The sequence below is a fragment of the Homo sapiens genome, chromosome 8, assembly GCF_000001405.40.
Source record: "Homo sapiens chromosome 8, GRCh38.p14 Primary Assembly".
Taxonomy (NCBI): domain Eukaryota; kingdom Metazoa; phylum Chordata; class Mammalia; order Primates; family Hominidae; genus Homo; species Homo sapiens.
In genome coordinates, this window is record NC_000008.11 from 68,456,667 (window position 1) to 68,470,549 (window position 13,883).

The 13,883-nt window shown below is 37.8% G+C and overlaps 1 protein-coding gene across 13 annotated transcripts in view, besides 1 other annotated feature; it reads left to right on the forward strand.

Annotated features, from left to right (window-relative positions):
• Positions 1-13,883, forward strand: part of C8orf34 (chromosome 8 open reading frame 34) — a 488,651-nt gene that overhangs the window by 126,294 nt on the left and 348,474 nt on the right. For 9 of the 13 annotated variants that reach the window (NR_146186.1, XM_047421328.1, NM_001349477.1 and 6 more), the window contains exon 4: positions 12,026-12,154. The exons of the other annotated variants lie outside the window; for them this stretch is intronic. Coding sequence is in view for 8 of the 9 variants with exons in the window: in XM_047421328.1 (XP_047277284.1) it covers positions 12,026-12,154 (129 nt within the window). In the remaining variant the exon portion in view is untranslated. The remainder of the gene's footprint in view (positions 1-12,025; positions 12,155-13,883) is intronic. 13 annotated transcript variants of the gene reach the window in all.
• Positions 3,658-4,157: an enhancer, noted in NCBI's record as "H3K4me1 hESC enhancer chr8:69372559-69373058 (GRCh37/hg19 assembly coordinates)". NCBI's record gives its function as "activates a minimal SCP1, AML or CMV promoter by ChIP-STARR-seq in naive H9 embryonic stem cells {active_cell/tissue: H9 hESC(naive)}" and the evidence as "EXISTENCE:reporter gene assay evidence [ECO:0000049][PMID:30033119]".

Here is a 13,883-nt window from a genome sequence, read left to right on the forward strand (position 1 = left end):
AATCTTCAATAGTTATGTGTCATAGATAAGATAAGTAGGTTTTGATGAAGGTTTTGCCTTGTAATGTTTTGGCATTTTCAAATAACCAAAAAATAGCACTTATACAATGCAAGCTGGCATAGGGACAAAGATCTGCAAGGTAGCGTTATAGTATCAGTCTTCAATAGTTATGTGTCATAGATAAGATAAGCATGATTTGATGAAGGTTTTGCCTTGTAATATTAACTATTTCCACTGGTTACCTATTGTATGGAATGGTTGCAGATCATGAGCAGAATTTTGGCAGAAATGACAAGAAAGACATTGTCTATCAATATTCTGTGCATGATAGTGAATGCTGATCCTTTATAACCATTTCAAATTTATAATCCAGATGAGAAAATTGAGGTAAATATGTTGGTTTAGGTTAAAACCAAAAATTGATATCAACTCTCAGTTGTTTTGTTTATGCTCCTGCATTTAAGGGAGGCTTTCTCAGGGTATTTTTTTAAATGATGCATTTAGCACAGAATATATAAAGATAAATAGCTGCATATTTATAGACTGTCATTGAGAGTATATATGTACATATATGTATAGAAAGTATAAACTACATAAATATAAAAAAATGAAGACAGAAGTACAATAGCTGAAAAATCATGATATGGAAATACAGAAGGCAGAAGACATGAAGTAATTATCTCATTATAATCAGTTTTCAGTATATTATAACTGTAGTACTGGGGATATTTCCTGGCATATTTAAAACGAAAGTAGAGTACTTGGGGAGAACTTTCAGATAAGAACATTAGCATTTATTAAATTTTAGAAAACAGGGTTGAAAGTTATTTTGGTTCAAAGGAAATATATAGGCAGTATCTCAAATGTTATGTGGAGGAAACAGTAAATTTATTTTAAACTCATAAAAACGATTGGTGGAGGTCATATTGAATTAGAATTTGATGACTATAATAAAGAATTGCTCAAAAATTAGCACTCCTTAATATACAATAGGCTGCTTTGTAACATAGTGTCCTCAGCGAAGACTGAGGAAAAGCTATTTGCAAGGTGCTGTGGGTACCTTGCACCTGCACTAGAGTGAGCTCTGCGTCAGTGACCCCAAAGACTCTTCCTAATCTCAGATTCTGTCATCTTCTTCTATAGGTTTTATTAGGTAGTTGACACTGTTCTTCTATTTTTCATTTTCCCTGTGGATATTTTTTAAAACATTTTTAAATGTTAACCCTTTACTTTTTAGTGTAGTATGACTTAAATAATGTTTTCAATCTATCAGAAAATTTTAGAGATGTTCTCATCCAAAGACGGCATACCAGACAAATGACTTCCCAAATTTATTTCCATTACTTATAAAAACAGCTTTTGAAATCACCCAGCATGGGTGATTAGATCCTGATTATACCATGGCTTTGATTGTCCTCGTTTGATTCCCATGATAAGTTAGGCAAGATTTATTACATGTATCAAATTGTCACAAGCTACAAAAACATCAAAAGAAATTGGTCTCAGTTCCTCTCAAAAGTCGCCAAGGAAATGTTCTTGGGTATGGTATTAATTAGTTCTCTATTGTGCAGCATATAATTTTCCCAAAACTCAGTGGCTGAAAACAGCAACAATTTGTGGTTTCTCATGATTCTGTATGTAGACTGGCCAGTTCTCCTGCTGGCCTCACCTGACGTGCCCATGTGGTGCATTCAGTGGGTAGGTCTGCAGATGCTGGGCTCAGCTGGGATGATGGGAACCTAGGCTGTGTCTGGTAGATATCCAGGGATATTGACTAGAATTTAAAAAAAACCAAAAAACCTGAGTTCTTATTTTGTAAATTAAAAAGAAAATATGAAGAGAGACCTTGATAACATATAGTGATTAGCAGAAAATCAGATAATGTAGTGATACAGATTGCAGATTAAAGAAATTATTCAAAGAGGGTTAACAAAAGTGCCAAAGTTTTGAAGAATCTGATACAAATATTGTTTTTTCCACTCCCTCATCTGAACTTCTCTCTCTTAAACCTAGGTTCCTCCATAGGCTTCCCCTGGGGAATGGTCTGTGAGGTAGCGGTCATGGGCCTCGAAGTGTTTTCTGGATTGATCACGGTTACTGTGTCTACTCTCTGCTGCTAGCACACTGGCATGTTAGTAATTTTAGCTGATATCCCTGTCCCAGGTTCCCTTAAACCAAGAAGCTCAGATGAGGCAGCTGCGTTCATTTTTTTATTTTTAATTTCTAGATTTATTTAAATCACAGAAGTAATATTTATTTATTTTGACAATGTAAAATATACAGACCTGTAGAAAGAGAAATAGTCTCCTTCACTTGTCTCCCATCAAATTCTACTCCCCTAGAAATAGTTTGTGTCTTTGTATATTCTTTCCTTTGTACACATTAGCAGATATGATATGGATGGGTTGGTTTGCTGTATAAAAGTGACCTTAAACTGTACCTATTCTTAAGCAATGTGTTTTTATTATTTTTAAATGCATTGTCTGGCTATCATTAAAAAGAAAAATAATAGATGTTAGCAAGGATGCAGAGAAAAGGGAACTCAGGGAACTCTTTCATTTTCTTTTTTTCTTTTTTTTCTGAGATGGAGTCTCACTCTGTCACCCAGGCTGGAGTGCAGTGGCATGGTCTCAGTTCACTGCAACCTCCGTCTCCCAGGTTCAAGTGATTCTCCTGCCTCAGCCTCCCGAGTAGCTGGGACTACAGGTGCGTGCCACCACGTCCAGCTAATTTTTGTATTTTTTTTAGTAGAGATGGGGTTTCTCCATGTTGGCCAGGCTGGTCTCGAGCTCCTGACCTCGTGATCCACCCTCCTTGGCCTCCCAAAGTGTTGGGATTACAGGCGTGAGCCACCGTGCCCGGCTGAAAAGGGAACTCTTATACACTGTTAGTAGGAAGGTAAACTAGTACAGCAACTATGGAGAACAGTACGGAGATTTCTCAAAAAACTTAAAATAGAACCACTATTGAATCCAGCAATCCCACTACTGGGTATCTACCCAAAGAAAAACAAACAATATATCCAAAAGATACCTGCATTCACATGTCTATTGCAGCACTATTCACAATAGAAAAGATGTGGAATCAACCTAAGTGTCCATCAGCAGATAAATGGATAATAAAAACTTGGTGCAGGGTGAGAGCCAAGATGGCCAAATAGGAACAGCTCCGGTCTACAGCTCCCAGTGTGAGTGACGCAGAAGACAGGTGATTTCTGCATTTCCATCAGAGGTACCGGGTTCACCTCACTAGGGAGTATCAGACAGTGGGCGCAGGACAGTGGGTGCAGTGCACTATGCGCGAGCCGAAGCAGGACAAGGCATTGCCTCACTCGGGAAACACAAGGGGTCAGGGAGTTCCCTTTCCTAGTCAAAGAAAGGGGTGACAGACGGCACCTGGAAAATCGGGTCACTCCCACCCTAATACTGTGCTTTTCCGACAAGCTTAAAAAACGGAGTACCAGGAGATTATATCCTGCACCTGGCTCGGAGGGTCCTACACCCACGGAGTCTCGCTGATTGCTAGCACAGCAGTCTGAGATCAAACTGCAAGGCAGCAGCGAGGCTGGGGGAGGGGCGCCCGCCATTGCCCAGGCTTGCTTAGGTAAACAAAACAGCCAGGAAGCTCGAACTGCTTGGAGCCCACCACAGCTCAAGGAGGCCTGCCTGCCTCTGTAGGCTCCACCTCTGGGGGCAGGGCACAGACAAACAAAAAGACAGCAGTAACCTCTGCAGACTTAAATATCCCTGTCTGACAGCTTTGAAGAGAGCAGTGGTTCTCCCAGCACGCAGCTGGAGATCAGAGAATGGGCAGACTGCCTCCTCAAGTGGGTCCCTGACCCCTGACCCCTGAGCAGCCTAACTGGGAGGCACCCCCCAGTAGCGGCAGACTGACACCTCACATGGCCAGGTACCCCTCTGAGACAAAACTTCCAGAGGAACGATCAGACAGCAGCATTTGCAGTTCATGAAAATCCGCTGTTCTACAGCCACGACTGCTGATACCCAGGCAAACAGGGTCTGGAGTGGACCTCTAGCAAACTCCAAAAGACCTGCAGCTGAGGGTCCTGTCTGTTAGAAGGAAAACTAACAAACAGAAAGGACATCCACACCAAAAACCCATCTGTACATCACCATCATCAAAGACCAAAAGTAGATAAAACCACAAAGATGGGGAAAAAACAGAGCAGAAAAACTGGAAACTCTAAAAAGCAGAGTGCCTCTCCTCCTCCAAAGGAACGCAGTTCCTCACCAGCAACGGAACAAAGCTGGACAGAGAATGACATGACGAGTTGTGAGAAGAAGGCTTCAGATGATCAAACTACTCCGAGCTACAGGAAGAAATTCAAACCAAAGGCAAAGAACTTAAAAACTTTGAAAAAATTTAGACGAATGTATAACTAGAATAACCAATACAGAGAAGTGCTTAAAGGAGCTGATGGAGCTGAAAGCCAAGGCTGGAGAACTACGTGAAGAATGCAGAAGCCTCAGGAGCCAATGCGATCAACTGGAAGAAAGCGTATCAGTGATGGAAGACGAAATGAATGAAATGAAGTGAGAAGGGAAATTTAGAGAAAAACGAATAAAAAGAAATGAACAAAGCCTCCAGGAAATATGGGACTATGTGAAAAGACCAAATCTACATCTGATTGGTGTACCTGAAAGTGACAGGGAGAATGGAACCAGGTTGGAAAACACTCTGCAGGATATTATCCAGGAGAACTTCCCCAATCTAGCAAGGCAGGCCAACATTCAGATTCAGGAAATACTGAGAACGCCACAAAGATATTCCTCGAGAAGAGCAACTCCAAGACATATAATTGTCAGATTCACCAAAGTTGAAATGAAGGAAAAAATGTTAAGGGCAGCCAGAGAGAAAGGTCGGGTTACCCTCAAAGGGGAGCCCATCAGACTAAGAGCGGATCTCTCGGCAGAAACTCTACAAGCCAGAAGAGAGTGGGGGCCAATATTCAACATTGTTAAAGAAAAGAATTTTCAACCCAGAATTTCCTATCCAGCCAAACTAAGCTTCGTAAGTGAAGGAGAAATAAAATCCTTTACAGACAAGCAAATGCTGAAAGATTTTGTCACCACCAGGCCTGCCCTACAAGAGCTCCTGAAGGAAGCACTAAACATGGAAAGGAACAACCAGTACCAGCCACTGCAAAATCATGCCAAATTGTAAAGACCATCAAGGCTAGGAAGAAACTGCATCAACTAACGAGCAAAATAACAGCTAACATCATAATGACAGGATCAAATTCACACATAACAATATTACCTTTAAATGTAAGTGGACTAAATGCTCCAATTAAAAGACACAGACTAGCAAATTGGATAAAGAGTCAAGACCCATCAGTGTGCTGTATTCAGGAAACCCATCTCACGTGCAGAGACACACATAGGCTCAAAATAAAAGGATGGAGGAAGATCTACCAAGCAAATGGAAAACAAAAAAAGGCAGGGGTTGCAATCCTGGTCTCTGATAAAACAGACTTTAAACCAACAAAGATCAAAAGAGACAAAGAAGGCCATTACATAATGGTAAAGGGATCAATTCAACAAGAAGAGCTAACTATCCTAAATATATATGCACCCAATACAGGAACACCCAGATTCATAAAGCAAGTCCTGAATGACCTACAAAGGGACTTAGACTCCCACACAATAATAATGGGAGAATCTAATACCCCACTGTCAACATTAGACACATCAATGAGACAGAAAGTTAACAAGGATACCCAGGAATTGAACTCAGCTCTGCACCAAGCGGACCTAATAGACATCTACAGAACTCTCCACCCCAAATCAACAGAATATACATTTTTTTCAGCACCACACCACACCTATTCCAAAATTGACCACATAGTTGGAAGTAAAGCTCTCCTCAGCAAATGTAAAAGAACAGAAATTATAACACACTGTCTCTCAGACCACAGTGCAATCAAACTAGAACTCAGGATTAAGAAACTCACTCAAAACCACTCAACTACATGGAAACTGAACAACCTGCTCCTGAATGACTACTGGGTACATAACAAAATGAAGGCAGAAATAAAGCTGTTCTTTGAAACCAACAAGAACAAAGACACAACATACCAGAATCTCTGGGACACATTCAAAGCAGTGTGTAGAGGGAAATGTATAACACTAAATGCCCACAAAAGAAAGCAGGAAAGATCCAAAATTGACACCCTAACATCACAATTAAAAGAACTAGAAAAGCAAGAGCAAACACATTCAAAAGCTAACAGAAGACAAGAAATAACTAAAATCAGAGCAGAACTGAAGGAAATAGAGACACAGAAAACCCTTCAAAAAATTAATGAATCCAGGAGCTGGTTTTTTGAAGGATCAACAAAATTGATAGACCGCTAGCAAGACTAATAAAGAAAAAAAGAGAGAAGAATCAAATAGACACAATAAAAAATGATAAAGGGGATATCACCACTGATCCCACAGAAATGCAAACTACCATGAGAGAATGCTACAAACACCTCTGCGCAAATAAACTAGAAAATCTAGAAGAAATGGATAAATTCCTTGACACATACACCCTCCCAAGACTAAACCAGGAAGAAGTTGAATCTCTGAATAGACCAATAACAGGCTCTGAAATTGTGGCAATAATCAATAGCTTACCAACCAAAAAGAGTCCAGGACCAGATGGATTCACAGCCGAATTCTACCAGAGGTACAAGGAGGAACTGGTACCATTCCTTCTGAAACTATTCCAATCAACAGAAAAAGAGGGAATCCTCCCTAACTCATTTTATGAGGCCAGCATCATCCTGATACCAAAGCCGGGCAGAGACAAAACCAAAAAAGAGAATTTTAGACCAATATCCTTGATGAACATTGATGCAAAAATCCTCAATAAAATACTGGCAAACTGAATCCAGCAGCATATCAAAAAGCTTATCCACCATGATCAACTGGGCTTCATCCCTGGGATGCAAGGCTGGTTCAATATACACAAATCAATAAATGTAATCCAGCATATAAACAGAATCAAAGACAAAAACCACATGATTATCTCAATAGATGCAGAAAAGGCCTTTGAAAAAATTCAACAACGCTTCATGCTAAAAGCTCTCAACAAATTAGGTATTGATGGGACGTATCTCAAAATAATAAGAGCTATTTATGACAAACCCACAGCTGATATCATACTGAATGGGCAAAAACTGGAAGCATTCCCTTTGAAAACTGGCACAAGACAGGGATGCCCTCTTTCACTACTCCTATTCAACATAGTGTTGGAAGTTCTGGCCAGGGCAATTAGGCAGGAGAAGGAAATAAAGGGTATTCAATTAGGAAAAGAGGAAGTCAAATTGTCCCCATTTGCAGATGACATGATTGTATATCTAGAAAACCCCATTGTCTCAGCCCAAAATCTCCTTAAGCTGATAAGCAACTTCAGCAAAGTCTCAGGATACAAAATCAATGTACAAAAATCACAAGCATTCTTATACACCAATAACAGACAAACCGAGAGCCAAATCATGAGTGAACTCCCATTCAAAGAGAATATTTGCTTCAAAGAGAATAAAATACCTAGGAATCCAACTTACAAGGGATGTGAAGGACCTCTTCAAGGAGAACTACAAACCACTGCTCAATGAAATAAAAGAGGATACAAACAAATGGAAGAATATTCCATGCTCATGGGTAGGAAGAATCAAGATCGTGAAAATGGCCATACTGCCCAAGGTAATTTATAGATTCAATGCCATCCCCATCAAGCTACCAATGACTTTCTTCACAGAATTGGAAAAAACTACTTTAAAGTTCATATGGAACCAAAAAAGAGCCCGCATCGCCAAGTCAATCCTAAGCCAAAAGAACAAAGCTGGAGGCATCACGCTACCTGACTTCAAACTATACTACAAGCCTACAGTAACCAAAACAGCATGGTACTGGTACCAAAACAGAGATATTGATCAATGGAACAGAACAGAGCCCTCAGAAATAACACTGCATATCTACAACTATCTGATCTTTGACAAACCTGAGAAAAACAAGCAATGGGGAAAGGATTCCCTATTTAATAAATGGTGCTGGGAAAACTGGCTAGCCATATGGAGAAAGCTGAAACTGGATCCCTTCCTTACACCTTATACAAAAATCAATTCAAGATGGATTAAAGACTTAAATGTTAGACCTAAAACCATAAAAACCCTAGAAGAAAACCTAGGCAATACCATTCAGGACATAGGCATGTGCAAGGACTTCATGTCTAAAACACCAAAAGCAATGGCAACAAAAGCCAAAATTGACAAATGGGATCTAATTAAACTAAAGAGCTTCTGCACAGCAAAAGAAACTACCATCAGAGTGAACAGGCAACCTACAAAATGGGAGAAAATTTTCGCAACCTGCTCATCTGACAAAGGGCTAATATCCAGAATCTACAATGAACTCAAACAAATTTACAAGAAAAAAACAAACAACTCCATCAAAAAGTGGGCAAAGGACATGAACCGACACGTCACAAAAGAAGACAATTATGCAGCCAAAAAACACATGAAAAAATGCTCACCATCACTGGCCATCAGAGAAATGCAAATCAAAACTACAATGAGATACCATCTCACACCAGTTAGAATGGCAATCATTAAAAAGTCAGGAAACAACAGGTGCTGGAGAGGATGTGGAGAAATAGGAACACTTTTACACTGTTGGTGGGACTCTAAACTAGTTCAACCATTGTGGAAGTCAGTGTGGCGATTCCTCAGGGATCTAGAACTAGAAATACCATTTGACCCAGCCATCCCATTACTGGGTATATACCCAAAGGACTATAAATCATACTGCTATAAAGACACATGCACACGTATGTTTATTGCAGCACTATTCACAATAGCAAAGTCTTGGAACCAACCCAAATGTCCAACAATGATAGACTGGTTTAAGAAAATGTGGCACATACACACCATGGAATACTATGCAGCCATAAAAAATGATGAGTTCATGTCCTTTGTAGGGACACGGATGAAATTGGAAATCATCATTCTCAGTAAACTATCGCAAGGACAAAAAACCAAACACCGCATGTTCTCACTCATAGGTGGGAATTGAACAATGAGAACACATGGACACAGGAAGGGGAACATCACACTCTGGGGCCTGTTGTGGGGTGGGGGCAGGGGGGAGGGATAGCATTAGGAGATATACCTAATGCTAAATGACGAGTTAATGGGTGCAGCACACCAACATGGCACATGTATACATATGTAACTGACCTGCACATTGTGCACATGTACCCTAAAACTTAAAGTATAATAAAATAAAATAAAATAAAATAAAATAAGAAATTCTAATAAAAAAAGAAAATTTGGTGCGTATACACAATGAAATACTATTTGGTCATTTAAAAAAAAAAACAATGAAATCATGTCATTCTCAGCAACACGGTGAAACTGGAGGTTATTATCTTAAGTGAAATAAGCCAGGCACAAAAAGACTAATATTGCATGCCCTCAGTTATATGTGGGAGCCAATAAAACTAATCACATGGAGGTAAGGGATTGAAAGATAGATAACAGTGACTGGGAAGGGTGATTGGGGCATGGGGGAAAATGAGAGAAGTGGGCTAAAGGGTAGCATAAGCATACGGTAAGATAGAAGGAATAAACTCAATGTTTGATAGAAGAGTAGGGTGACTATAGTTAACACGAGTGTACTGTACTCAGTAGATGCACACCCTAAGTGTTGATTAAATATGTTCTCTATGTTGATATTATTATGATTAATTAATTAACATTGTTCACAAGCCATACAGTGACTTGATCACTACGTGTTATATACATGTAACAAAATTTCATGTATACCTTATATATTTGTAGAAATAAAAATAAAAATAAAATGCACCATGGAAGTATCTTTATGGTAATATACTTAGATTTAACTTGCCCTTTTAAATAATTGTATACAATGTGAATGGGAGATAATTTATTCAGCCATTCCTTTGTTGAAGGACATTTAGATTACTAACAGGGTTTTGCGGCCATGAAATATTTGCTAAAATAAACAAAGTCTTACACTTTCTGTGAAAATAAACAACGTTGTACATATATATATATATATATATATATATAGATGCTTTCATTTCTTTATGATGACTTTACCAGACATAAGATTGCTAGGTCACAGGGTCGGTGCATTTTTCATCATAATAGATATTGCCAGATTACTTTTTAAAAAGGTGACAGAATGACATATTTCATTAGTTGGAGACTATTTCCTATGTCCTTACCATATAAATATTTTTAAAATTTATTTTATTTTTATCAAAACATAATGGTACATGGTTTAAAAAAGTTTAAGTAGTACTATGAGATTTCTACCCAACTCGGCTCCTAACCTGCAATCACTTTCACCTCTTTTAGATGTTGCTTCTGGTTCCTAAATCTACACAATCAAACATAAGGTTCTCTTCCTTTTTAAATTTGAGGCATTATCTCTTGACATCCTTCATACCTTGTGCTCCAAACTCTAACCCCCATCTCATCCTGGCCCTATAGTAATGCAGTTATTTCAAATGTTGATTAAATATGTACTCTACATTGGTATTATTATGACTAATTAATTAATATTGTTCATGGTTGAGCCATAAGATGTCCAACTATTCTAGAATTGACAGTTCTCTTGCTTTTCTGTTTGCTTTGTTTACTATGTACCCATCACTAATGCTTTGCCAAACCCTGCCCAAAGAATTAAACCTTCTCAATATGATCAGAGACAAGTAAACTTAACTTCTATTTTATAGTTATCCTTTATTTTAAAAATTTTTAGAGACTTCTCTTCTGTAGCCCTCTGTCCTCTTGCTCCCTGCTTGACTCATTGGTTTCTAGACTTTTTCTCAACTGCCTTTTGAGACTGTCTTTCACTATCTTCCCGAGAATTCCCTGTTCCTTTTCCATATTGGGAGAATGGGAGGTCACCTGTTTCCTGAAATCCAAGTCTTGCCATTTTTTGATTTACTTGTTCATTTTGGTAGAGCAACTCCAGTAGGAGCTTTCTGAAAAACAATGCTTTTGCAAGATAAATTTTTCAGTCCTTCAAAGTATCCTAATTTGTTCCCTAGTTGGGTATACAGTTCTAAGAAGTACTCTATAGTTGGAATTTAGAAGGAATTGCTTCTTGTCTTCTTAGGCCAAGTGTTGCCTTTGAGAAGTCTGGTGTCAATTTGATTTGCTATTTTTGCCCCTGAAAAGTTTTACAATGTTTTCTTTATTGCCACTATTAAACCATTTTTTAAAAAAAATATGCCTCGACCTGTGCCCGACATTTAATGGGCCCTTTAAATCTGAAAAGCAATTAAGTTCTTATATTATTATTACTTTGACATTGTTCTCCTGGATTGAAGCTTTAATATTTAAATAGTGTGACATGTTGATTTTCTTGGCATTCCTCTGTTCAGAGACTTAGGTTTCAGTTTTCTTTGCCTTGCAAAATCCAGTTACCACTCATCCATCCATTTTGCATCTTCTCTCAAAATATATTGCTATTTCTTGCCTAATAATGTCTTCTACACTTGTTCAACTAATTCTTTGAGGAAAAAAATCCCTTCACTGTAATGTAATTTTAATGGGAATTTGAGGAGGACATGAAGATAAATACGTATATTTAGCCTTCTATGAATGTCCTAAAAATATTTACTTAATAATTACCAGTTGCTGTTGAGGGAGTTAGTGCTTTTTTTAGGCTGATGACATAATACAAAATACACTTTGCCTGTGTGTTTCTCCCTGTGTTATAGAAATGATTAGTTTTAAGTTAATACCTGAATTTTCTTTTTTCTATAAACTCCACCACACTTCCCTTTACTTTTTCAGTTAAAATATTTTCTTTAAGCCTGGCTTCATATCTTCCCCTCTTTTTTCTCACAAGCAAACCATCTTCAAGATAAACACTTTTTATTCTATACATTGATCTTGGTACAGTCTTTCACGTGATGATGAATAGTCAGTTTGTGTCATTATGTAGCATGCTTATGAAATTACCATTTTTTTTAAACATAGTGCCAAGGTCAGTAGAGCATCCAAAGTGGAACTGGAGGACTAAACCACAAAGCCGTGATTTTGATGAATTGAATCACATCCTTCAGGAGAGCAAGAAGCTGGGGAAAGCCCTTGAGAATCTCTCTCGAAGTAAGTTCATTTACTTGATTATAATTGAAACTCCTAACCAATATTAAAGCCGAAGCATTCATTACTTGTGCCAATAACCCATTTCTAACATCCTCATTCTAATTCTGCAAGAGGCTGAGTAGTTCTAAGGGCATGAGATTGGAAAGGAACTTGATTTTGCATATTATACAGATTCTTGGGTAGACTGATCACATGGAGTAGAAAGAGCTGTAGAACCCCTCATAGCTGTTTGGCTCCAACACTTGTACATGGTTTCTGTTATCCAGTTTAAATATGTGCCTAATAGTAGCTTCTTCATTCTTTTCTTTGGAAACATACTGTTTTGCATCTTTCTAATTAATAAACATACCCATTGCCTCTGTGAGTTTTTGATGTCTCTAAACTTCTTAAGGATGGTAACTGGACCAAATTCTTCTTAGAATCTTTTCAGAGCCTAGCACAATGCCTAGTGATTATTTTTTTTAATGAAAGCAACATCTCTGTAATCTGAGGGCCTAGGTTATGGTTTTTCTCTGCCATCTATGACATAATTCATAATAAATCAGATAAATCATTTACCCTCCATGTGCCTTGGTCCGCTCATCTCCAAAGCAGAAAGACATGATTATGCCGCCTTCCTCTGCTAGGTGTGAAGGTTTAAAAATGATACATTTCAAGTAAAACCTTTTAAATAACTGCTATTGTTGTAAGAGTAGGCAATAAAATGATTATTTTGGTTTAATAAATTCATTTATATATGCAGCCATACGTATACACTATATGGTTTTAGTAGTGAGTTAAAAGTATTCCTACATTTTTTTGGTTCCCTTAAGTTTTTCTCAATTTTAAAAATTGGGCTCCTTTAGAAGCACATTAATGCCATGGCCTCACCAAAATTTTCTTTTATTGCCATGGAATACTACAGAATTTTCAGTGGAAAGTAGTTAGAACACTAGCAAATTCTAGTGGATTATATTTTAGGATCTCTATTTTTATTTTAGATTGCAGAATCTTACTAATTTCATTATTTTTATCAAAGGCAAACATTGTCTTGGTATATTTTGAAAGAAGTTTATATATATATATATGCTTATATATGTAATTATAATTATACATATTTACATTTGGTATTTTGTGTGTGTGTGTGTGTGTGTGTGTATGTGTGTACAGCTTTAGTTTTTTCACAGCTCTTCATTAGACCCTTCTATATTTTTGTGCAGTGAACCCCTTTCAGAAGTTAAGCTACCTTATCACAGGATCTTATGCTTTGCCATTAGTAAAAACCCTCTGAATGGGATTCAAGGAAGCTCCACGTTTGGTTAAATTTCCTTTTGTAGAAAATAAGAGTAAAGTGAGTTTTTGGCTTATGATTATATTATGTTTATGAAAAGAGCCTGATTCTCTTCATATGGCAAAGGCACATATTCGTATTTATGAATCTTACCATTTGGGGCAGAGCTTCAGGGCTCTTTATAGTCTCTCAATTTACCTAATAACATGAACTAAAAGAAGGATGATTGAAGAATGTGTCTGATCATTGTAAAGATTTTCAAATACATGGTCAATCAACTTTTGTCCTTTAAAATGTGACACCTGCCTTTCACTTGTTATACTGTTTTTAATTTGTAAAATAGTATTTGCTGTGTTCCCCCAAATTTTTAATATAGGGATTTGACTGCATTTCAATTATGTAGTTGCCCACTTTTGTAGCAGAAGTGTCAGAGTTCAAGCTGTGGACCAAGAAAACCTG